The 23,484-nt window shown below is 37.5% G+C and overlaps 1 protein-coding gene across 5 annotated transcripts in view; it reads left to right on the plus strand.

Moving 5' to 3' along the window:
- Window positions 1-23,484, plus strand: part of AR (androgen receptor) — a 186,599-nt gene that overhangs the window by 121,067 nt on the left and 42,048 nt on the right. For 4 of the 5 annotated variants that reach the window (NM_000044.6, NM_001011645.3, NM_001348061.1 and 1 more), the window contains one exon: window positions 20,923-21,039. In NM_000044.6, the coding sequence (NP_000035.2) occupies window positions 20,923-21,039 (117 nt within the window). Of the gene's footprint in view, window positions 1-20,853; window positions 21,040-23,484 lie in introns of all 5 variants that reach the window. The other variant, NM_001348064.1, reaches the window with a different exon arrangement.

Raw genomic sequence — 23,484 nt, forward strand, 5'->3', positions numbered from 1 at the left:
CTTTGGCTCATGCTCGGTGCGCTGCACCCACTGTCCTGCACCCACCATTTGACACTCCCCTGTGAGATGAACCCGGTACCTCAGTTGGAAATGCAGAAATCACCCATCTTCTGTGTTGCTCACGCTGGGAGCTGTAGACTGGAGCTGTTCCTATTCGGCCATCTTCACAAAAATCTTACTTTGGTTTCTAGTGTTACCACCCACTGTTCTTTCTCATCTCAACCCTGAGTATAAGTACAGATCACATTCCTTGGGTTCTTAGAAAATAATAGAAATGAACTCTCATTCATCAAAATGCCCATTAGTAAATACTGAGGGAGAACAAACTAGAAATCCAGTATAGAAAATAAAAATAGGATTATATTCCTTGGAATCTCAGAAAAAAACAATGAAGAGCTTTCTTTGGGCATTAGACACTTTCCCATAAGGTGGCTGACTCTCTTTTAGTCATGTCAGCTTGGCCCAATCTTCACTTGGTAGCCCTTCTTTCTTCTTCATTAATCCATCTCCTATGCTCCTATGGGGTCCTAGAGAAATGCCCATCATGTACACACACATCTAATAACACAAAGATCACTCTCGACTAGCAAGCCCTTTTATGATGGTGTGAGCATTTGACACCCTTGTTGCTAGTAACATCAGTGAGTGACCTGACCCATTTTTGGAACAGAATATGATCAGTATGTTGCCTCAAGGAGGCCCTCACTGTTCTAGGAAATATAATTCCAGAGTTTGCTGACTCACACCATGGAATATATGCATAAAATGGATCCTGCAGATAAGCCTTTCTCTGACTAGTTTCAGACATTTTTTTCTGGGTAATTTTAAAGTTATTTTTTATTTTTGTGGGTACAAAGTAGGTGTATATATGTATGAGGTACCTGAGGCATTTTGATACAAGCATACAGTGTATAATAATCACCAGAGTTAATGGGGTATCCCTCACCACAAGCATTTATCCTTTCTTTGTGATACAAACAATCCAATTATATTCTTTTAGTTATTTTAAGATGTATAATAAATTATTGTTGACTGCAGTCACCCTGTTGAGCTATCAAATACTAGATCTTATTCATTCTAACTATACTTTTGTACCCAGTAGCCATCCCACTTCCTCCCCTCCCACTACCCTTCCCAGCCTCTGATAACCATCATTCCACTCTCTATCTCTATGAGCTCAATTGTTTTAAGTTTTAGCTCCCACAAATATGTGAGAAAATGCCAAGTTTGTCTTTCTGTGCCTGGCTTATTTCACATAATATAATGTCCTCTAGTTCCATCCATGTTATTGCAAATGACAGGATCTCTTTCTTTTTTATGGCTTAATAGTACTTTATTGTATGTATGTACCACATTTTCTTCATCCATTTGTCTGTTGATAGACAAGAGTTGCTTCCAAATATTGACTATTGTGAATAGTGCTGCAATAAACGTGGGAATGCAGATCTCTTTGATATACTGATTTTCTTTCTTTAGGGTGTATACCCAGCAGTGGGATTGCTGGGTCATATGATAGCTCTATTTTTAGTATTTTGTGGAACCTCAAATCTATTCTACATAATGGTTTTACTGACTTACATATCCACCAACAGTGTATGAGGATACTCTTTTCTCCACATCCTCACCAGCATTCATTACTGCCTGTTCTTTGGATGAAAGCCATTTTAACTGTGGTGAAATGAGATCTCATTGTTGTTTTGATGTGCACTTCTCTGATGATCAGTGAGGTTGAGGACCTTGTCATATATCTGTTTGTCATTTGTATGTTTTATTTTGAGAGATGTCTACCCAGATCTTTTGCCCATTTTTTAATCAGATTGTTAGATTTTTTTTTTCCTACAGAGTGCTTGAGCTCTTTATATGCCCTAGTTACTAGTCCCTGGTCAGATGGGTAGTTTGCAAATAGTTGCTCTCATTCTGTGGGTTGTCTCTTCACTTTGTTGATCGAATCACTTGCTGTGCAGAAGGTTTTTAACTTGATGTGACCTCATTTGTCCATTTTTAGTTGCCTGTGCTGGTGCGGTATTACTCAAGAAATTTTTGCCCAGATTAATGTTCTGGAGAGTTTCCCCAATGTTTTCTTGAAGTAGTTTCATGGATTGATGTCTTAGATTTAAGTCTTTAATATGTTTTGATTTTATTTTTGTATTTGCTGAGAGATAGGGCTCTAGTTTCCTTCTGCATATGGATATCCAGTTTTTCTAGCACCTTTTGTTAAAGAGACTATTCATTCTCTAATATACGTTCTTGGCACCTTTGTTGAAAATAAGTTCACTGTAGATGTATGGACTTGTTTCTGGGTTCTCTGTTCTGTTCCATTGGTCTATGTGTCTGCTTTTATGTGAATACCATGTTGTTTTGGTTGCAAAAGCTCTGTAGTATAATTTGAAATCAGGTAATGTGATTCTTCCAGTTTTGCTCTGTTCTTTTTCCTCAAGATAGCTTTGCCTATCCTGGGTCTCTTGTGGTTCTATATAAATTTTAGGATTATTTTTTCTATTTATGTCAAGAATGTCATTGATATTTTGATATAAATTGCGTTGAATCTGTAGATAGCTTCAGGTAGTGTGGACATTTTAACAATATCAATTCTTGAAATCCACGAACATGGAATATCCTTCTATTATTTGGATGTCTTCTTCAATTTCTTATATTAATTTTTTTTTAGTTTTCATTGTAGAGATATTTCATTTATTTGACTAAGTTTATTGCTAGGTATTTTATTTTATTTTTACCTATTGACAATGGGATTGCTTTCTTGATTTCTTTTTTAGATTGTTCACTGTTGGCATACAGAAATGCTACTGATTTTTATGTGATGATTTTGTATCCCGCAACTTTACTGAATTTGTTTATCAGTTCTAATAGGCTTTTGGTGCAGACTTTAGGCTTTTCCAAATATAAGATCATATTATCTGCAAACAAGAATAATTTGACTTCTTTCTTTTCAATTTGGATGCCTTTCATTTCTTTCTCTTGTCTGATTGCTCTAACTAGGACTTCCAGTACTCTGTTGAATAACAGTGGGGAAAGTTAACATCCTTGTTTTGTTTCAGATCTTATAGCCAAGGCCTTCAGTTTTTCTGAATTTAGTATGATACTAGCTATGGGTCTGTCATATATGGCTTTTATTATGTTGAAGTATGTTCCCTAGTTTTTTGAAGGTTTTTATATTTTAAGGAAGATAAAAATTGAACTTTATCAAATGCTTTTCATGCAACAATTGAAATGATCAAGTGCTTTTTGTCTTTCATTCTGTTGATACGATGTATCACACTGATTGACTTGTGTATTTAGAACCATCCTTGCATCCCGTGGTAAATCCCACTTAGTCATGGTGAATGAACTTTTTAATGTGTTGTTGAATTCAGTTTGCTAGTATTTTGTTGGGGATTTTTGCATCAGTGTTTATCAGGGATATTGGCCTATAGTTTTCCTTTTTTTTATGTGTCTTTTGGGTTTTGTTATCAGGGTAATACTGGCCTTGTAGAATGAGTTTGGAATGATTCTCTCCTCTATTTTTTGAAATACTTTGAATAGGATTGATGTTACTTCTTTAAATGTTTGGTAAAATTCTGCACTGAAGCCATTGGGTCCTGGGCTTTTTACTGCTGGGGAGACTTTTCATTACAGCTTCAATCTTATTACTTGTTATTGGTCTGTTCAGGCTTTAGATTTTTTTCATGAATCAATCTTCACAAGTTGTCTGTTTCTCAAAATTTATCAATTTCTTCTAGGTTTTCCAATGTATTGTCATCCAGTTGCTCATAATGCCCTCTAATGATGCCTTGAATTTTTGCAGTAACCACTGTAATGTTTCCTTTTTTAATCTCTGATTTTATTTGAGCTTTCTCTTTTTTTCTTAGTCTAGCTAAATATTTGTCAATGTTGTTTGTTCATCCACAAAACCAACTTTTCATTTCACTGATCTTTTGTATTATTTTTTCCTTTTAATTTTATTTATTTCTATTCTGATATTTATCATTTCATTTCTTCCAGTTATTTGAGTTTGGTTTGCTCTTGCTTTTCCAGTTCTTTAAGATGCATTGTTAGGTTATTTATTTGAACTTTTTTGATATAGGTGCATATTGCTATAAACTTTCACCATAATATTGCTTTTGCTGTATCCCATAGGTTTTAGTATGTTGTTTAGTATGTTTCCAATTTGGTACATTTCAATAAATTTTTAAATTTTCTTCTTTATTTATTGACATAGTCATTCCAGAGTATACTGTTTAATTTCCATGTGGTTTGTATAGTTTCCAAAATTCCTCTTGTTATTGATTTCTAGTTTTATTCCATTGTGGTCAGAGAAGAAGCTTGATATGAATGCAATTGTTAATAATTTTTTTAAAACTTGTTTTGTGACCTAAGATATGATCTGTCATTGAGAATGATCCATATGCTGAGGAAAGAATGTATATTCTGCAGCCATTGGATAAAATTGTCTTTAAATATCTATTAGGTCCATTTAAGACATAATGCAGATTAAAGCCGATGTTTCATTGTTCATTTTTCTGTCTGGATGATCTCTTCAGTGCTGAAAGTGGTGTGTTAAAATCTCTAAATATTATTGTTTTGGGATCTTTCTCTTCTTTCAACTCTGATAATATTTGCTTTAGATACCTGGGTGCTCCAGTGTTGGGTGCATATATACTTAAAATTGTTGTATCCTCCTGATGAATTGACCCCTTTATCATTATATAATGACCTTCTTTTTCTCTTTGTGTAGTGTTTGTCTTGAAATCTATTTTGTCGGATATTAGTATTGCTGCTAATTTTTTTGGTTTCCATTTGCATGAAATATCTTTTTCATTCCTTTATTTTCAGGCAGCGTGTTTCTTTATATTTAATAGGTGAAATATGTTTCTTGTAAATAAAAATTATTATTTTAAAATATTTTTAAAATAATACTATTTTTTAATAAGAACAATTATTATTTTTTAAAAAATTTCATTAGTTTTGGGGGCACAAGTGGATTTTGGTTAAATGGGTGAGTTCTTTAGTAGTGGATTTTGAGATTTTAGTGCAGCAGCCACCTGAGAAGTGTACATTACCCATATATTATATATATACTATATATGCTTTATATATATAGTGTGTATATATAATATATATACAACTACATATTGGGTAATGTACACTTCTCAGGTGACTGCTGCACTAAAATCTCAAAATCCACTACTAAAGAACTCACCCATTTAACCAAAATCCACTTGTGCCCCCAAAACTAATGAAATTTTTTAAAAAATAATAATTGTTCTTATTAAAAAATAGTATTATTTTAAAAATATTTTAAAATAATAATTTTTATTTACAAGAAACATAATTCACCTATTAAATATAAAGAAACACGCTGCCTGAAAGTAAAGGAATGAAAAAGATATTTCATGCAAATGGAAACCAAAAAAATTAGCAGCTATACTAATATATTATATATATACTACATAAAGCATATATATAGTATAGTATATATATAATACATTTATAAAGCATATATATAGTATGTAGATAATATATGTTTATATACTTTAAGTTCTGGGATACATGTGCAGAACGTGCAGGTTTCTTACATAGGTATACTCGTGCCATGGTGGTTTGCTGCACCCATCAACCTGCCATATACATTAAGTATTTCTCCTAATGCTATCTTTCCCCTAGCCCTACCCCACTCCCTGACAGGCCCTGGTGTATGATGTTCCCCTCCCTGTGTCCATGTGTTCTCATTGTTCAACTGCCACTTATGAGTGAGAACATGTGGTGTTTGGTTTTCTGTTCTTGTGTTTTAGTTTGCTGAGGATGATGGTTTCCAGCTTCATCCATGTCCCTGCAAAGGACATGAACTCATCCTTTTTGATGGCTGCATAGTATTCCATGGTGTATATGTGCCACGTTTTCTTTATCCAGTATATCATTGATGGGCATTTTGGTTGGTTCCAAGTCTTTGCTATTGTGAATAGTGCTGCAATAAACATACGTGTGCATTTGTCTTTATAGAAGAATGATTTATAATCTTTTGGGTATATACCCAGTAATGGGATTGCTGAGTCAAATGATATTTCTGGTTCTAGATCCTTAATGAATTGCCACACTGTCTTCCACAATGGTTGAACTAATTTATGCTCCCACCAACAGTGTAAAAGCGTTCCTATTTCTTCAAATCCTCACCAGCATCTGTTGTTTCCTGACTTTTTAATCGCCATTCTAACTGGCATGAGATGGTATCTCATTGTGGTTTTGATTTGCATTTCTCTAATGACCAGTGATGATGAGCTTTTTTTCATGTTTGTTGGCAGCATAAATGTCTTCTTTTGAGAAGTGTCTGTTCATATTCTTCACCCACTTTTTGATGGAGTTATTTGTTTTCTTCTTGTAAATTTGTTTAAGTTCCTTGTCGATTCTGGATATTAGCTCTTTGTCAGATGAATAGATTGCAAAAATTTTCTCCCATTCTGTAAGTTGCCTGTTCCCTCTGCTGATAGTTTCTTCTGCTGTGCAGAAGCTCTTTAGTTTAATTAGATCCCATTTGTCAATTTTGGCTTTTGTTGCCATTGCTTCTGGTGTTTTAGTCATGAAGTCTCTACCCATGCCTATGTCCTGGATGGTATTGCCTTGGTTTTCTTCTACAGTTTTTATGGTTTTAGGTCTTGCATTTAAGTCTTTAATCCATCTTGAGTTAATTTTGTATAACGTGTAAGGAAGAGGTCCACTTTCAGTTTTCTGCATGAGGCTAACGAGTTTTCCCAACACCATTTATTAAATAGGGAATCCTTTCCCCATTGTTTGTTTTTGTCAAGTTTGTCAAAGATCAGGTGGTTGTAGATGTGTGGTGTTATTTCTGAGGCCTCTGCTCTGTTCCACGTGTCTATATCTCTGTTTTGGTACCAGTACCATGCTGTTTTGGGTACTGTACCACTTGATTGGTGAGAGAGGGAATCCTTGTCTTGCACTGGTTTTCAAAGGGAATGCTTCAGCTTTTGCCTATTCAGTATGACCAATATGTAGTCTTTTATTCCTCACCCTCTCTCAACACCCCACCCCCACGGAGTCCTCAAAGTCCATTATATCACTCTGTATGTTTTTGCGTTCTCATAGCTTAGCTCCCACTTATAAATGAGAAAATACAGTATTTGGTTTTCCATTCTTTGGTTACTTAATTAGTATAATGGCCTCCAGCTCCATCCAGGTGTCTTGTTTTTCATCCATTCAGCCAGTCTATAACTTTTGCTTGGAGAGTTTCGTCCATTTAGATTCAGCGTTATGATTGATAACTAAGGGCTTACTCCTGCCATTTGGTTGTTTTCTGGTTATTCTGTGGTCTTCTCTTCCTTTTTTCCTTCTTTCCTGTCTCCCTTTTAGTGAAAGTGGTTTTCTCTGGTGGTGTATTTTATTTTCTTCCTTTTTATTTTTTTTTGTGTGTATTTGTTGCATGTTATTGATTTGAGGTTACCATGAGGCTTGTACATAATATTTTCTAACTCATTATTTCAAACTGATGACAACACTCTATCGCATAAAAAAACATGGAAAGAGAAAACTAATAAAAACTCTACATTTTAACTTCATCTCTCTGCTTGTTGTCACTTTGTCGTTTCTATTTACATCTTATTGTACTGTTTATGTCTTGAAAAGTAGTTTCAGTTATTACTTTTGATTGGTTCATCTCATAGTCTTTCTACTCAAGATATGAGTAGTTCACACACCACAATTACAGTGTTACAATATTCTGTGTTTTTCTGTGTACTTTCAATTACCCATGAGTTTTGTATTTTCAGATAATTTGTTATTGCTCACTAACATCCTATTCTTTCAGATTAAAGAGCTCCCTTTAGCATTTCTTGTAGGAAAAGTCTGGTGTTAATGAATTCCTTCAGCTCTTGTTGATCTGTGAAAGTCTTTATTTTTCCTTCATGTTTCAAGGATATTTTCACTGGATAGTCTATTCTAGGGTAAAAGTTTTTTTTTTTTTTTTCTTCAGCCCTTCAGGTAAGTCATGCCACTCTCTCCTGGCCTATAAGGCTACCACTGAAAAGTCTGCTGCCAGACATATATGAGTTCCATTCTATGTTACTTGTTTATTTTCTCTTGTTACTTTTAGGATCCTTTCTTTATCTTTGACCTTTGGGAGTTTGATTATTAAATGCCTTGAGGTGGTCTTTTTTGGATTAAATCTTCTTCGTGTTCTTGTACTTGGATATTAATATCTTTCTCTAGGTTTGGGAAGTTCTCTGTTATTATCCCTTTGAATAAACTTTCTACCAAGATCTCTCTTTCTCTCTCTGTCTCTCTCTCTCTCTCTCTCTCCTTCTTAAGGCCAATAACTTTTAGATTTGCCCTTTTGAGGCTGTTTTCTAGATCTCGTAGGTGTGCTTCATTGTTTGCTATTTTTTTTTTTTTTTTGTCTCTTCTGACTACATTTTCAAATAGCCTGTTTTAAAACTCACTAATTCTTTCTTTTGCCTGGTCAATTATGCTGTTAAGAGACTCTGAGGCATTCTTCAGTGTGTCAGTTGCATTTTTCAGCACCAGAATGTCTGCTTATTTTTTTTTAGATTATTTCCATCTCTTTGTTAAATATATCTGATAGAATTCTGAATTCTTTCTTAGTGTTATCTTTAATTTCCTTGAATTTCCTCAACACAACTATTTTGAATTATCTGTCTGAAAGGTCACATATCTCTATTTTTCCAGGATTGCTATCTGGTGCTTTATTTAGTTCATTTTGTGAGGTCATGTTTTCCTGGATGGTGTTAATGCTAGTAGATGTTTTTCAGTGTCTGAGCATTGAAAAGTTAGATGTTTATTGTAGTCTTCACAGTCTGGGCTTGTTCATACCTGCCCTCCTTGGGAGACTTTCCAAGTATTCGAAGGGATTTGGATGCTGTGATCTTAGTCTTTGGTCACTGCAGCCATATCTGCTTTATGGAGCATCCCATGCTCAGTAATGCTGTGGCTCTTTCAGACTCATAGAGTTACTGCCTGCATGCTCTTGGGTAAGAGCCAGGAAAATTCCCTGGATTACCAAGCAGAGACTCTTGTTCTCTTCTCTCACTTTCCCCCAAACAAATAGAGTCTCTCTCTCTCTCTCTCTTTCTCTCTCTCTCTCTCCCTCTCATTCTCTGCCGACCTGCCTGAATCTGGGGTAGGGATGACACAATCACATTTGTAGTCAACACCATTGGGACTGTGCTAGGTCAGACCCAAAGCTGGCACAGCACTGAGTCTCGCCCAACGCCCACAGAGACCACTCCCTGGGTAATGTCTGTGTTTGCTCAAAGCCTAAGGGCTATACAATCAGTCAGTGGTGAAGCCAGCCTGTCTTATGTCCTTCCCTTCAGGGTGATGAGTTCCTCAAGCAGGTCCAGGGATGGTGTCCAGGAGCCAAGGCCTCGAGCTGTGACTGAGCTGGCACCCAATCCATAAGACAAAGATTTTTTCCACACTTTCCTTCCTTGTCCTCAAGCAAAGGAGTCTCTCCCTGTGGCCACCACCACCCCCATGTTCATGGCAAGTATTGTCTGGCTACCACCAATCTTCACTCAAGGCCCAGGGGTTCTTTAGTTAGCTTATGGTGAATGCTACCAAGGCTGAGTCTCTCCCTTCAAGGAAGTGGGCTCCTCTCTGGCCCAGGGCAGGTCCGGAAATACTATCCAAGAGCCAAGGCCTGGAATCAGTTTCCCCAAGAGTCCATTTGGTGCTCTACACCCACTGTGGCAGAACCAGTACCCAAGCTGCAAGACAAAGTCCTCTTTACTCTTCCTTCTCCTTTACAGAGACTCTCCCTATAGCCACCACAGCTGGGAATATGCTGGGTCACTCTTGAAGCAAGAACAGCTCTGAGTCTCACTCAAAACTCCTGGCAAGTACTGCCTGGCTATCACACTGATTATTCAGGGCCCAAGGGCTCTTTAGTCAGCAGGAGATGAATCCTGCCAGTACTGATTCCTTCCCTTCAAGGCAGCCGGTTTCTTTCTGGCCCAGTGTGTATCTAGAAATATCATTTGGGAGCTAGGGCCTGGCATGGTGACCTCAGGACTCTGCCTGGTGCCCTGTTCTACTGTGGCTGATGTAGTATCCAAATTGCAAGACCAAGTCCTCTTTACTCTCCCCTCTCCTGTCTTCAAGCAGAAGGAATGAGTCCGCCCTGGAGTTGGGAGCTGCATTGCCTGGGATTGGAGGAGGGGTGGCACAAGCACTCTCTTGGTCACCCCAGCTGGTGTCTTACTAGGTCGCATGTTCCCCAAGTCCACTGGCTCTGAGGCTAGCACACCAGGATTTGACCAAGAATTGCAATTCTTGTGGCTTACACTGCCTTTCAAGTTTATTTGAGATCCCAGAGCACTTTAGCCCACAGTGACAGGGCTTGCCAGAATTTAGTTTCTGACTGCTGAGATGGACAATTTGCGTCTGATTAGGGCTGGTCTAAGTGCTCCTTCTGTGGGCACTGGCTGAGTTCTGCTCCATGTTGCTTTCTGCTGTGACAGGGCAACATTGAGTTTCAATGCAAGTCCCACAGTCACTGCAATCTTCCTCTCCCAAGCCTGCTCTGAACACCATGTGGTTGCTGCTGGGGGCTGGGGGAGGGATGTTGTAGGCAATTCAAGAATGTCTTTCCTACCCTTTTCGGTGCTTCTTTCCTTGGTATGATATTAAAACCAGTTACTGTGATTGCTCACCTGATTTTTGGTTCTTATGAAGGTGCTTTTTTGTGTGGATCACTGTTCAATTTGTGCCTGCAAGCGGGGATGGGGGACAATTGCTGGAGGCTTCTCTTTGGCCATCTTGCTCCACCTCTACCCTAGTATTAGCAATTTCAAAGCAGTTGGGATGGAGGTAGAAGGAAAGGGCGCTTGGAATCAGAAAATCCATGTCTTAGCTTTGAGCCTTAGAAAATTCATTTGACCCTTGTAAGCCTCAGTTGCTTCATCTGTAAAAGAGAAATAATATAATGGCTGAAAAGATCAAAGGTGATAATGCTTTTGAAAACACTATAGAAAATGACAAAATATCACATGAGTATTATTTTCTAGTTTCTAGGAGTCTCCTTACCATTGTACAGGACAACCATGTCTATTTTTAAATAAATTATTATTTGCCTCTGAGCAACCCTGCAAAGAGTTGCCTGTAGGAGAAACAGCTTTACTTGCAAATCACTCCACTGTTTTCTTTGTGCACAGCTTATTAATACATAAGGCACATGTCCTCCAGCCTGCAGTAACATTGGAATCATTACCTCTTTGGAGTACCTACCAGAGCTTCTCAAAGTGAATTTTGTTTATCACCACAAAAAATAGTCTGTTGCAGAGATAACCTCCAAATTCAATGACAATATTTCCAATCACTTTTGCATGATGCAGAAATAGACAAATATATAATTTTGCTTATAGAGACAATTATTGTCTCCCAACAAGTGATCAGTAGTCAGAAAATGGCCAAGAAATACCATGGGGTGTGCCTTCCCATAACAGCTTATCTTTGTGTTTTAGTTGCAAGGTTACTAAAAGCCTGTGCAGGGTTTATGGCAAAAGTAAAACTTGCTCCAGGAGCAAGCCCTTGTTTCATTGTCTAATGTTCTTAATCCCCAGCAGACAGGATTTGGATCTGGCATTTGGTAACAGGGCAGTTTCCAAAGTTGCTGTACGCAACTTGAGGAAGAGAGGTGATATTATCGGAATGAATTTCTTTGTTGTAAGTTATAAATGTATGGGCTTTTCCAATCCCATCACCCTTAAAACTTTATTTGTTTTCTGCAGTGAGGGTGTCTCCGTTGTCTTTAATATGCTTGCTTTGAGTTCATGGATGAACATTCCTGCCTGGCTGACATGTGGACTCTCTGAAATTGTTATAAGGTCTTTTTCTTTGTTTTTTTCTTGATGCCCAAGCTGCCAAGGGTAGTACTGGCAGTGGTGGGCAGACAAGGAGGTGATAGCAAACTTTGTCCTCTGGCCTCCCTTGACCCATTCCATTCATTATCTAAGGGACTCCAAGCCAGCATTCCACAGAGTGCCCTCACCAAACTCACTAAGACTGAAGGCGAACCAGGATTCCAAACAGCCATTATGAAAGGAAAGAGAGAGAGACTTAGGGTTTGCAAAATAAGATACCCTGTTGATTCTTTTTATTCCATACAGATACTACTATTCTTTAGGAAAACGTTAAAATCACATGATCTTCCAGGACCTGGGCTGCTTCTTTAAGAAGCATGTTACAGAAAGCTTTATTGGCCAACAACATATTGAAAGATAGATTAATCAATCATTCATTCAAATAAGGTATATTCAGAATTGAGGTATATTGTAGCCAGACAGTGAGACTACAAAAAAAGAATGCACCGTACCCTTATCTCTTGCACAATCTAACGAGGGAGATAACCACTCTTTCAATTTATAGTGACCTATAACATTTCGTACACTGCTGAATATCTTTACATGGTAATAACACAATGGAAAGCTTGCAAAATAGACAGAGGCTAGGGGAAGAAGGATTGAGTGTGAATATAGCCTCTTATAAATCGAGAGGAATGGTCTGTGTCTTCTGATCATACAGAGATAATAAATATGGAAATGATTTCAAACTAACAAAGCAAATGTGCAGAAAATACTGAGAATATAGTGGGCAGGATACCTGAGTTTTGGTTCCATCTCTGTTATTGACTCATTGTGTAATCTGAGTCAGGTCTGTTCTGCTCTCTGGATCTCACCCTTTCCTATCTGTAAAATGAGATTGTTGGATTAGATGATCTCCATAGAGGTTCTCACCTATTCTGACATTCAAAAGGACTCCTAATTTTTCTTATATAATAATAATATATATGATCTGTAGAGTGCTTTACACTTTATATGATATTTTTGCATCTGTTATCTCATGTGAGAAAAGCACTGGACTGCTGGACTGGCAATGAGGACACCTGGATTCTTGTCTCTGTTTTGACACTGATTCATGGTGTGATCTTCAAGCAAATTCTCTGAGTTTCAGTTTCTCAATCTGTAAAATAGGGGGGTATGAAGATTGGACTAAATCAGTAGGTCTCTAAAATGTTCCACAAAGCCCTGGGGTGGGGGGCTCCTACAGAGTTTCGCTAAGGCAAACCACAACGCTAAGCCTGCATGGAAGAGGAGAAAAAGAGTGGCCTGACAAGAGAAGTTCCCAGTTTCCTATGCCAACCCCAGGCAGATTACATTTAATTTTATCTGATTTATATAGAGAGTTTCTATGTAATGTTTTATTCTTAAAAATAGTTTACTATAAAAAACTCAACTGGTTTGATTTTTAAAGATTGCACATATAAGTGAGATCATGCAGTCAGTATTTGTCTTTCTATGCCTGGCTTATTTCACTTAGCATAATGTCTTCCAGCATCATCTATGTTGCTGCAAATGACAGACTTTTCTTTTCATTAAAGGCTATATAGTATTCCATCGTGTATGTACACCACATTTTCTCTTTTGTAACTTTCATTTTAGGTTCAGGGGTTCATGTGCATGTTTGATATATAGGTAAACTGCATGTCAGAGAGGTTTCTTGTACAGATTATTTCATCACCCAGGTAATAAGCATAGTATCTAATCAATTTTTTTCTGATCCTCTCCCTTCTCCCACCCTACAACCTCAAGTAGGCCCTGGTGTCTATTGTTCCCCTCTTTGTGTCCATTACACCACATTTTCTTTATCCACTTATCCATCCATGGACACTTAGTTTGCTTCCATATGTTGGCTATTGTGAATAATGCTGAAAAAAGTCAAACTCATAGAAGCAGAGAGTAGAATGGTGGTTACCAGGGACTGGGAGGCAGTTGACTGAGCTAGGAAAAGAGAGATAATAAAAGGGTACAATGTGTCAGTTATATAGAAGGAATAAGTTATATTGAACTATTGCACAGCATGGTGACCATAGTTAATAATAATGTATTATATGTCTCAGTATTGCTAAAAGAGTAAATTTAAATATTCTAACCACAAAAAATTATTAGTAGGCAAGGTGATGGATATGTTAATTTGCTTGATTTAATCTTTCTAGAATGCATACATATATCAAAACATCCCACTGTACCCCATAAATATATACAATTATTATTTGTCAATTTAGAAATTTAAAAACTTGATTTAGATGAGCTCTAAGGCCTTAAGTATTAAAGTATTAAGTATTAAAGTGATATGTAACCAAGTATATTGTTTGGTAACTTCATTTTTGTTATTATTTTAACAAACCAATATATTGTGAATATACTTCCAAGTGAAAAGAAAAAAGACATTGCAGTCATCACTAATAACTGCAAAACATTCCTTTGCAAGAATATGGAATAATTCATTTAATCATTCCCCTAATGTTAGACATTCAAATGTTTCCAACTTTTTCTATTTAAATAATGCTACAATAAACTTCTATTTTGTGCTTATTGTATTATTTTCTTACAACACATCCCTAGAAGTGGAATTCCTAGAAGTTTATACACATTTCCAATTTTTTTCCAAATATATGGCAAAATTTCTCTCTAAAGTATTTTTATTCCTACCAGAAATACCTCTTCACCAACACGTAGTATTTAATCTGTACCAATCTGGCTTAAGACAATGATATTTAATTTGTATTTCTGTGATTTCTAGCTAAATTAAATAATCTTCATATGCTTATTGGTCATTTGTACTTCTAACTGCTTTCTCCTGTCTGTTGCCCATTTTTCTATTGTGCTGTTTATTTTTATATATCGAATATATTGACCATTGGTTTTACATACTTGATGCTAATAATTATTCTTAGTTTATGGTTTGTCTTTGAGTTTTATAATGGTGTTTATTTCACATAAGAAATTATAAATGTTTTCTAATGAAATTTATCAAGTCTGTCTTCACTTATGTTTTCTTCATTGTCAATAACTTAAAATGACCTTTTCTACCTTTAAAAATTTTGAAATTTTCCTCTGTATTGTCTAATAGTACTTACATGATTTCCTCTTTTAAATTGACATATTTAATCCATTTGGAATTTATTTTGATTTTAACTAGTAATTTAACTTTATTTTCTTCTCCAAATGATTCACTAGTTGTTCTGACATTATTTAGTGAATAATTCATCCTTTCTTCACTGAATTGGAATGGCATATTCCATATACTGTGTCTGGTTTTGGCTTTTCTGATCTCTTCCACTGATCAACCTAAGCTGGAGCCAGTATCAAACTGTTGTAATCATTATGCCTTTAGATACTTTAAATGTACAGCAGGGAATGTCTTATTACTCTTATTTTTCACAAATATCTTGGCATTGTCTCATGTTTTATTCCTTCAGATAAATTTTGGGATTATTTTGTCAAGATTTTGTTTGAGTTGTTTTAAATTTTTAGATTTCATTGGGAAAGAACTGAAATCCTTGAAATATTGCTTCTTCTTAGCCAGGAATATGGTACAACTTTGCATTTAATTCAGTTCTTTCCTTAAATACCACCATGAAGTTTTTTGTTTTGTTCATATAGGTCCTGCATTAACACCATATATATAAAGTGTGAGAAATACTACATTCTTCAGGATTCTCTGTAGGTTAACAATGAAGATGATGACTCAACCCTTTCTTTGTTTGCATAATGTGATGCCACTAATAGTGGGTAACTTCTCTGCCTTACCTCCTCTGTTCCAAACAGGATTTTTCAGAATGAACAAATTAAAAGAATCATAATCAGACACTAACCCCAAGCCATACTGCATGGCAGCACCAATGGGACTGACAGAAAACAACAGAAATAGGAAGAAATCCTACAGAGAAACAAACTTGAAAGCTGTCTCATGGCCTTTGAATCATACTTAAGTTTTATGATGGAAGGATACGACTATGAAGAAAGACACAGAGCAACATCAGACAGTCAAGAATTTCAGAGCCAGCTGGCATGCAGTGGACCTCATGCCAGCCCATTTTATGACTATTTAGGTAGTCAAGGGTTTAAGATTTTTCTAATAAGACAGTTATTATGCATTTCAATGAGTGATTTCTTTGCAGCTCTAGAGTGTGGCCTTACCTACTTCAACATGAGAAGATTTTTGTATTTTGTCAGTCATTTCACAATGACTTTTAGTGAGCCCTTCATTATAGACTGTGGATACAACTTTGCTGTTGGAAATTAACAGTGTCAAACAACTGGGTATAATGTTTGTAATATCTGAGGAGGGGGAGCTGCCTAGGAAGTTGTATTCCCTGTGTTAATTTTTCAGTCTCTTAGGTTATAGAGGACCTTCTAGAACCACCTTACAGCAGGATTACATCCCATTTACACAGTTCTCTGTCACTTGAATACAGAGAAGGGATCCACAAGGCCATATGCTTCCTAGACAAAGAGAAAAGATTTCTGCCACACTCAGAACGCTTTGTCTTCAGACTATAATCACCCACACCATATTTCCTTTGGATCCACTTTCCAGATTTTTGTGCTGGCACTAACACCAACTTGCTGTGGCTTGGGGCATGTAATTTCAATACTTTGTGCCCATTTTCATAAGTGAAGTGTCAGGCATCACATTGGACATTTTAAGATTCTTTACAGCCCAATGATTCTGTGTTTCTAATTAGGCCCAATGGGTTAGAGCTAAAAGGAAACAGTGAGTTTCCTGGAAGGAAAGGACATATAACACAGTCCAGAGGTAAAATGGGCTGTATTCAAGAAAAGATAGGACAATACTTTGCAGGGATGCTGCAGAGAGGATTCAAGCCTTGTATGGAGGAATGGATGTGATACAACCAAAAAGTCTTTAAAAATTCTTTCCAACTAATCTGAGATTTGTAACCTTATGGACTGTGATTTGCAGCAAACCAAGGATGTGATAAAGACTAGTATTGTTTCTAGAATGCAAGGATGGTTCAACATATGCAAATCAATAGTATTAACAGAATGAAGGACAAAAACTATATGATCATCTCAATAGATGCAGAAAAATAATTTGACAAAATTCAACATCATTTTATGATAAAATCTTTCAAGAAATTGGGTATTAGAAGGAATGTTTCTCAACACAATAAAGGCCATATCAGACAAGCCCACAGCTAACATTATATTCAATGACCAGGAATGAGATAAGGATGCTCACTCTCACCACTTCTGTTTAACATAGTACTGGAAGTCCTAGCCAATTTCATATTAATGAGCCTCATTTTCTTCATCATAGAATGAAGTATATAATAATCCCTGTTATACTTACTTTGCACAGATTATTATTATTATTTAATTATTATTTTGAGACAGGGTCTCACTCTGTCACCCAGGCTGGAGTGCAGTACCACAATCACAGCTTACTTCAGCCACGACCTCCCAGGCATAAAGGATCCTAGCCCCTCAGCCTCCTGAGTAGCTGGGAGTACAGGTGCACACCACCACACCTAGCTAATTTTTTTTTTTCATTTTTTTATAGAGACGGAGTCTCACTATGCTGCCCAGGCTGGTCTCAAACTCCTGTGCTCAAGCAATCTTTCCACCTTGGCCTTCCAAAGTGCTGGGATTACAGGAGTGAGCCACTGCACCTGGCCTTGCAGATTATTATTAAACTTTGTAAACTAATCAAATGAGAGTGATTATTGTTACTGTTAAGAACTCTGATAGCCTCATCCATATATTTGGAGAAATTGAATAAATAATAGGAAAGAAATAATAGCATCCCAATGATTTTACCTTGGCTCTACCATCATTTGGGGAAGTGATAATTCAGATAGGAGAAGTGACTTGGAAGCAGTCTTGAGAGATTGCCTGTTCCATCCCCTATCTTTGTCCTTAAACCAAATTGTACAGATAAATAAGGTCTTATTTTTAGGACTTACAGAAAAAAGATTCCTTTCATATCCATCTTTGCAATCCTCAACCACTTCTGTCACTATTATGTGTCATTTCAAACATTAAATTCCTCATTCTGCTTTGAAGGAACACATGTGTCATGTGTACCCATTTGTATGTTTTGGTGTGTTTTATGCTTTATGTGATCACCCACATATGCACAGATAATTCCAAAATCCAGTGTGTGGGTGTTGTATTCCCTGTGTTAATTATTCAGTCACACTCAAACACCTATGCACTCACACATACATGAATACACACATGTACATTAGCATGTTTATGCTTATGTTGCATGTGACTGGCAACATCAGTGCCTTTCTAAGGCAATGTTAACTACCTTGAGTTTTGGGAGAGCTTTAGAGAACAAAGACAAGAGACTAAATGATTCTAGATGTAAGAGACAATGTTGCAATAAGTTACTATCCTAAAAAGACAGAATACAGGGACAAGAGACTATTATTTTGGATAGTTTCTTGCTTACCAGTAATACTTAAGTCCTTTACATTAAAAAAAAAAAACTCTGTAAATATATTGCAGAAGAAATCCAGACATCCTTCAAGATTCTTAGAGCTGGAAAAGATTTTAATGACTTTCCAGTCCAATCTATCTCATGTAATCAATGGGGCCCAGAGAGGCAAAAGGTCTTGTCCAAGGTCATATAGTGAGTTAGTGATAAGGCTGAACAAGGATTCAGATGTTGGGGCTTCCAGCCCACTGCTCTTTCTCTCATCTGGGATTTGTGTATTTTTGTTCATTAGAGATTTTCCTCTGTAACCTCAATATCCAATGCAGGGCCTTGCACATAATAGATTATCAGTAAATGTTAAATTAATATGTCATGGCTTTGGTTGTACTGGGCTTTTGCACTTACTCCTGAGTAAATTGTAAAGAATATCTACGTTTTAGGTTGCCTTGTTTTAGACCAAGAGGTACCCAGAGAAAAGGTGTGAACTATGCTAAGGAAATTATCCGAGTTCCAAATTGAAAAAAAAAAAAAATCATGCTTTTCCGCTATAACCTCTCTCATTCACAGAGTGATTCTCTTTCAGAAGGGCAATCTAGAACTATTATGGGAGCCATATTCCATTGGTGGTGCAACCATTTCTTGACAAACTAGGGTCCAAGAAAGTATTTTCCTGGGGAAGATGAGATTTCTCAAAGAAGGCACGCACTTTCTAACCTAAGCTTATTTCAGTAATCAATGTAACAAGCTGGTCTTGATGATTGCAGCAGTACCAATACTGTGGGAGTGTACCAGTTCTAGAACAGCTACAACATTGGAATTGAACGCACTAGAATTGGATACAGGACCTGTTTTTGAGGAGCTAACACCCAAAGGCTGAACAGCACTCGTAGCACCGTCCTTTCTGTGCACATATGGTAGTCCTCAGTTTGCAACAGAAATAAAGCTGTTAGCAAATTATGTGTTCTATTTATGCAAATAAAATCTTGTGGTATGCTAGAAAGAGCACTGGCCTGGAGACCTTAGTTTTCTCATATGTTAAAAACCCCTAACACAGGCCTGGTTCATAGTAGGCACCCAATAAATAGTAGTTTTCTTCCTTTGGGGGCCTCCGATTCAGTGTGCTTCTTCAGGTAAGTCACTTCCCTGGAACTCCTCCTTGGAATGAGAGTTGTACTGTTGTGATTTTTAACAGTTCCTTCAAGCCAAGCATTTTGGAATCCTTTCATAAAGGGAGAAAGGAAGGAAAGAAGAAAGGAAAATTAAAGGAAAAAGAACAAATAAAACGTTAAAAAGGAGGAAAGGAAAAAGGATCCTTTACTACAATAAAACTAATCTTATGTTCTTGCAAGTAGCACTTTAAGTAAAAGAAGTTCTTTGCTGACCTGGTTACTACTGAACCTACTACATAAAATAGCCTACTATAATAGATGCATTTATGTGCCTAATCTTCACTTTTTAGGCTTAGTAAAGGGAGAGGAAAGCTGATGTATAGTTAAATTTATGTTTTTAGTTGTTTTTTTTTCTACTCTCAAATATCAATCACTCTTTAGTTTCTCTTTCTTTTTCCGACCACAAGCATTCTTCCTCTGCTTAAAGAAGCTTCCCTAAAATCCCAGTCTATCCAGTAAGCCAAAGCACAGCAATAAATTTGAGGAAAAAATACCAGGGACTTAGAGACAGAAAGGAGTGAGGGGATGCAGAAGCTGAAGCTGGAGCACGGTTGCAAGCATGAGAAGTTCTGCGTGTTTCAGAGCAGCCAAGGATGTATTTTTGCCTATTCCTGCTGGTGACTCTGTGTGTCTATGCATCCATCTGCTATATTTACATGTTTAGTCAGTCAATCCACGTTTGCTGAGAGCCTGCTGTGTGCCAGGATTGTGCTAGCGTAAAGGAGCAAAGTATTGAGCAAAATATGTTTGAGCAGCTGTAATTCTGAGGATCTCTAGGTCTGAGCATGTGTATGTGTGTGCGCTTCTATGTATCTGTGACAACTCCAGGTGTTCATGACAGTGATCTTTGTTACTCTGTTGGCTTCATCGAACTTCCTTTTACTTGCTGTGATTCACTACATAGAGTGGGCTTTATCTCTGATTTTTATAACCTGCAAGACTGGGGGTATGATCACCAGCAATCTAAAAACAGTTAGAAATCCCATGGAGTTATCTTTTGTAGAAATTTTCCTCTACTAATATTATGAAAAATAAGCATCTTATTAGCTCGAGTGTAATTCTATGCATGATTACAGGTATCAATAGGAAGAAACATTGACTGAGTTCAAATCTCTTCTACGCCATGCTAAAGGGGTGACAAGTTCCACAATGGATCATTTTCTCATGGGCATTTCTGACTTTTGGTAAAAGTAGAGCACCTTATTTTAAAAACCATTGAGTAGTCCTAATAGTGGAGATATCATCAGGATCTGAATTGTTCATCCCTAAAAAAAACACCAATGGAAATCAAACAATATAGTGCCAAATTAAACTGTTTGAATATTTAGGTTCTGTATGATCAAATTGTTTGGTGCCATACTCTGTCCACTTTTTTCATGTGGTAGGATATAATTTCATATCTTTTCTGTTCTAGAAATACCCGAAGAAAGAGACTCTGGAAACTCATTATCAGGTCTATCAACTCTTGTATTTGTTCTCCCAGGGAAACAGAAGTACCTGTGCGCCAGCAGAAATGATTGCACTATTGATAAATTCCGAAGGAAAAATTGTCCATCTTGTCGTCTTCGGAAATGTTATGAAGCAGGGATGACTCTGGGAGGTAAGATACTTTTCTTTCTCTTCCTCCTCCTTCCTCTCTCCCCCTTCTCCCTCATTTTCTAGTCTCTCTTTAGACCAGATTTTCTTCTTTGATGCTTCCAAGGGGACCAGCCATGCTCTAGACACAGGCTGACCCTTTCATAGGCAACGTGGCCATCAGCCAGCTGGTGCCTTTTTTTTAATCCTTATCTATACCAATCCCCATTCCGGGGCTCAGCATTAGAGCAGGCGGTGTGAAGCAGGGATCAGGAGCCAACAGAAGGTGAGTGAGGATGCATCTGACTGGGCAGGGCCCCCAGGGGACTTAATGATACTGGCCTGATGTTGTTCAGTGGTAGCTAGGATGAGAGAACTAAGAAATCCAGAACAGTCAGAGGTGCAGGATGACCCAGGCATAGGCGCAGGATGACCCAGGCACAGGCTGATCCTGAACACCTGGGAATATCCCTTAGCTAACTGCTGCCTATGTTGTAGGGCCAGCCACCTCGAATGAGAAGCTACTTCTCTTTGGAGCCTGTGACTAGGCTGCCACACAGAGCCAATTTCCTATCCTATCTCTCCCAAAGATGAGCAGGTGTTTTAATAATTTCCTTTTCTTTGCAAAGCTATTGACCATTTCCAAAAGCATTTTTTTTCAGTAGCACAGTAACGTGATAGATGGAAGATACAGCTCTTTCAAGGGCGTTCCTCTATCATAAGGCTCTCTGTCCCACAAACCTGTCTACCATGAGTGTTGTCACCATTCCAGAAAGGCTTGACATCAGTTGATTGAGACTTATATTTTCCCTCTCCAAACTCCCCCATCTCTTCATGTTTACATCTGCCCAATGCCAGGGTCCTCGCTGCTGCCTGCTACTTCCAAAAAGATGTGTCTTTCATGAGAAAAACAAGATCATTAATCCACTTCGATTTGGAAATGGAATTTGAAGAAAGGCAAGCCTATTTCTGAGTGCCTGCAACTGTAGCCTCATACCCAATTATTCATTATTAGCCTGGAAAACCCAAGTGCCTAGAATCCAACCCTCTCCCCTCTCCTCTTAAGTCTAATTTAGACCAGTTGTCTATCTCTGGCTTTCTGTGAGGTGTTCAATACCTTGTCTGCCTATGTGCACATTTATAGACAACAACTAGTTCTCTTATCCTGGAGCAGGGCCATGTGTGGATCTTCATATAGATAACTATATCCTCCCCATCCTCACAGGGCAGTAGTATTATTTAAACAGAACAAAGTACCTCACATGAATTGACCCAGGCTGGATGAGAGACAATTTCAAAAGAATCATCTCAAGTAGCGTCCAGTACTCCCAAACATCACAGGTAGATGTTCTGTGAGTGGCTTTCCAAGCATCCACATCAAATGAGACTCAGATATCTGAGAAAACTCAACCTTGTTTTGGTTTGCTTGGTGCACCCCAAAGAAATCCAACAATTGAGGTCTACAGTGGAGAAGAAGTAGGACTGGGGTCAGGGAGTACAGAGGCAAAGGCAGGAAGGGTGACAAAGTGATTGACAAGAAAAAATGTTCTCCATATGAATGTTGCAGCCCCATGTTGAGGGTTCTTATACACTCAACTGTCAATTATTTAGCCTTCTGTGAATTATGTATAGTATAAAAGATAGGGACTCTCAAGTAGGGAACCTCTTGGCTTGCCATCTGGCAATATGAATTGCAAGTCCACTTTGATGCAGGTAAAGTTTAATGGTAACAAAAGTCCTCATAACATTTGGATGCAAATCTTAACATTAATTCCATGTCTCAGCCAACATTCTCCATTATTAAGCAGCCTGTGATGTGATTACAGTGAACCACTTTTGAAAAGGAGCCTGTGTATAACAGATAGTTTCACTATACTATATAACCGTCAGATGCAGGCTTGTAAATTAATTTGTTGGTGACAATGTTTCAGTACATTTTCAAATTGATTCATTGGTATAGTACTCAAATTTGAGTGGGCTTGGTGAACACAATGAAGACAAGCTGAGAAGTGCTGTGACTGGCCTTCATTTCAGTTGCAGGCCCATGATATTTTGAGTGTCTTCCATGTACAAGGCACCATGCTAGGCATTAGAGCTTGAGGCTGGCAAACTTCAGGAAGTGTTCACAAGATACCAGGATTCTTGATGTTGTGTAAATGGCCTTGCCTTTAGAGTCAGGCAGATCTAGTTTAAAGGCTCAGCTCCTTTATTTACTGTGTGCCCCTCTGAGCCTCAATTTCCTCATCTCTGATTTAGAAATACCATCCTCATAGAGTTATAATGAGTATCAGATGACATGATGAATGTGAACATCCTTGATAAATAGCAAAATGCTAGACAAATATGGGGGCTTAATATGACATTGAGGTCACTAGTAATTTAGCTGGAAAGTCTGTAACACAGCACTTCCCGATGGCTTTTACCCTAAGTAACTTGGTATGCCATATAATATGTAACAGCACCAACAGGC

The sequence above is a fragment of the Homo sapiens genome, chromosome X (assembly GCF_000001405.40).
Source record: "Homo sapiens chromosome X, GRCh38.p14 Primary Assembly".
NCBI classification, from domain to species: Eukaryota; Metazoa; Chordata; class Mammalia; order Primates; family Hominidae; genus Homo; species Homo sapiens.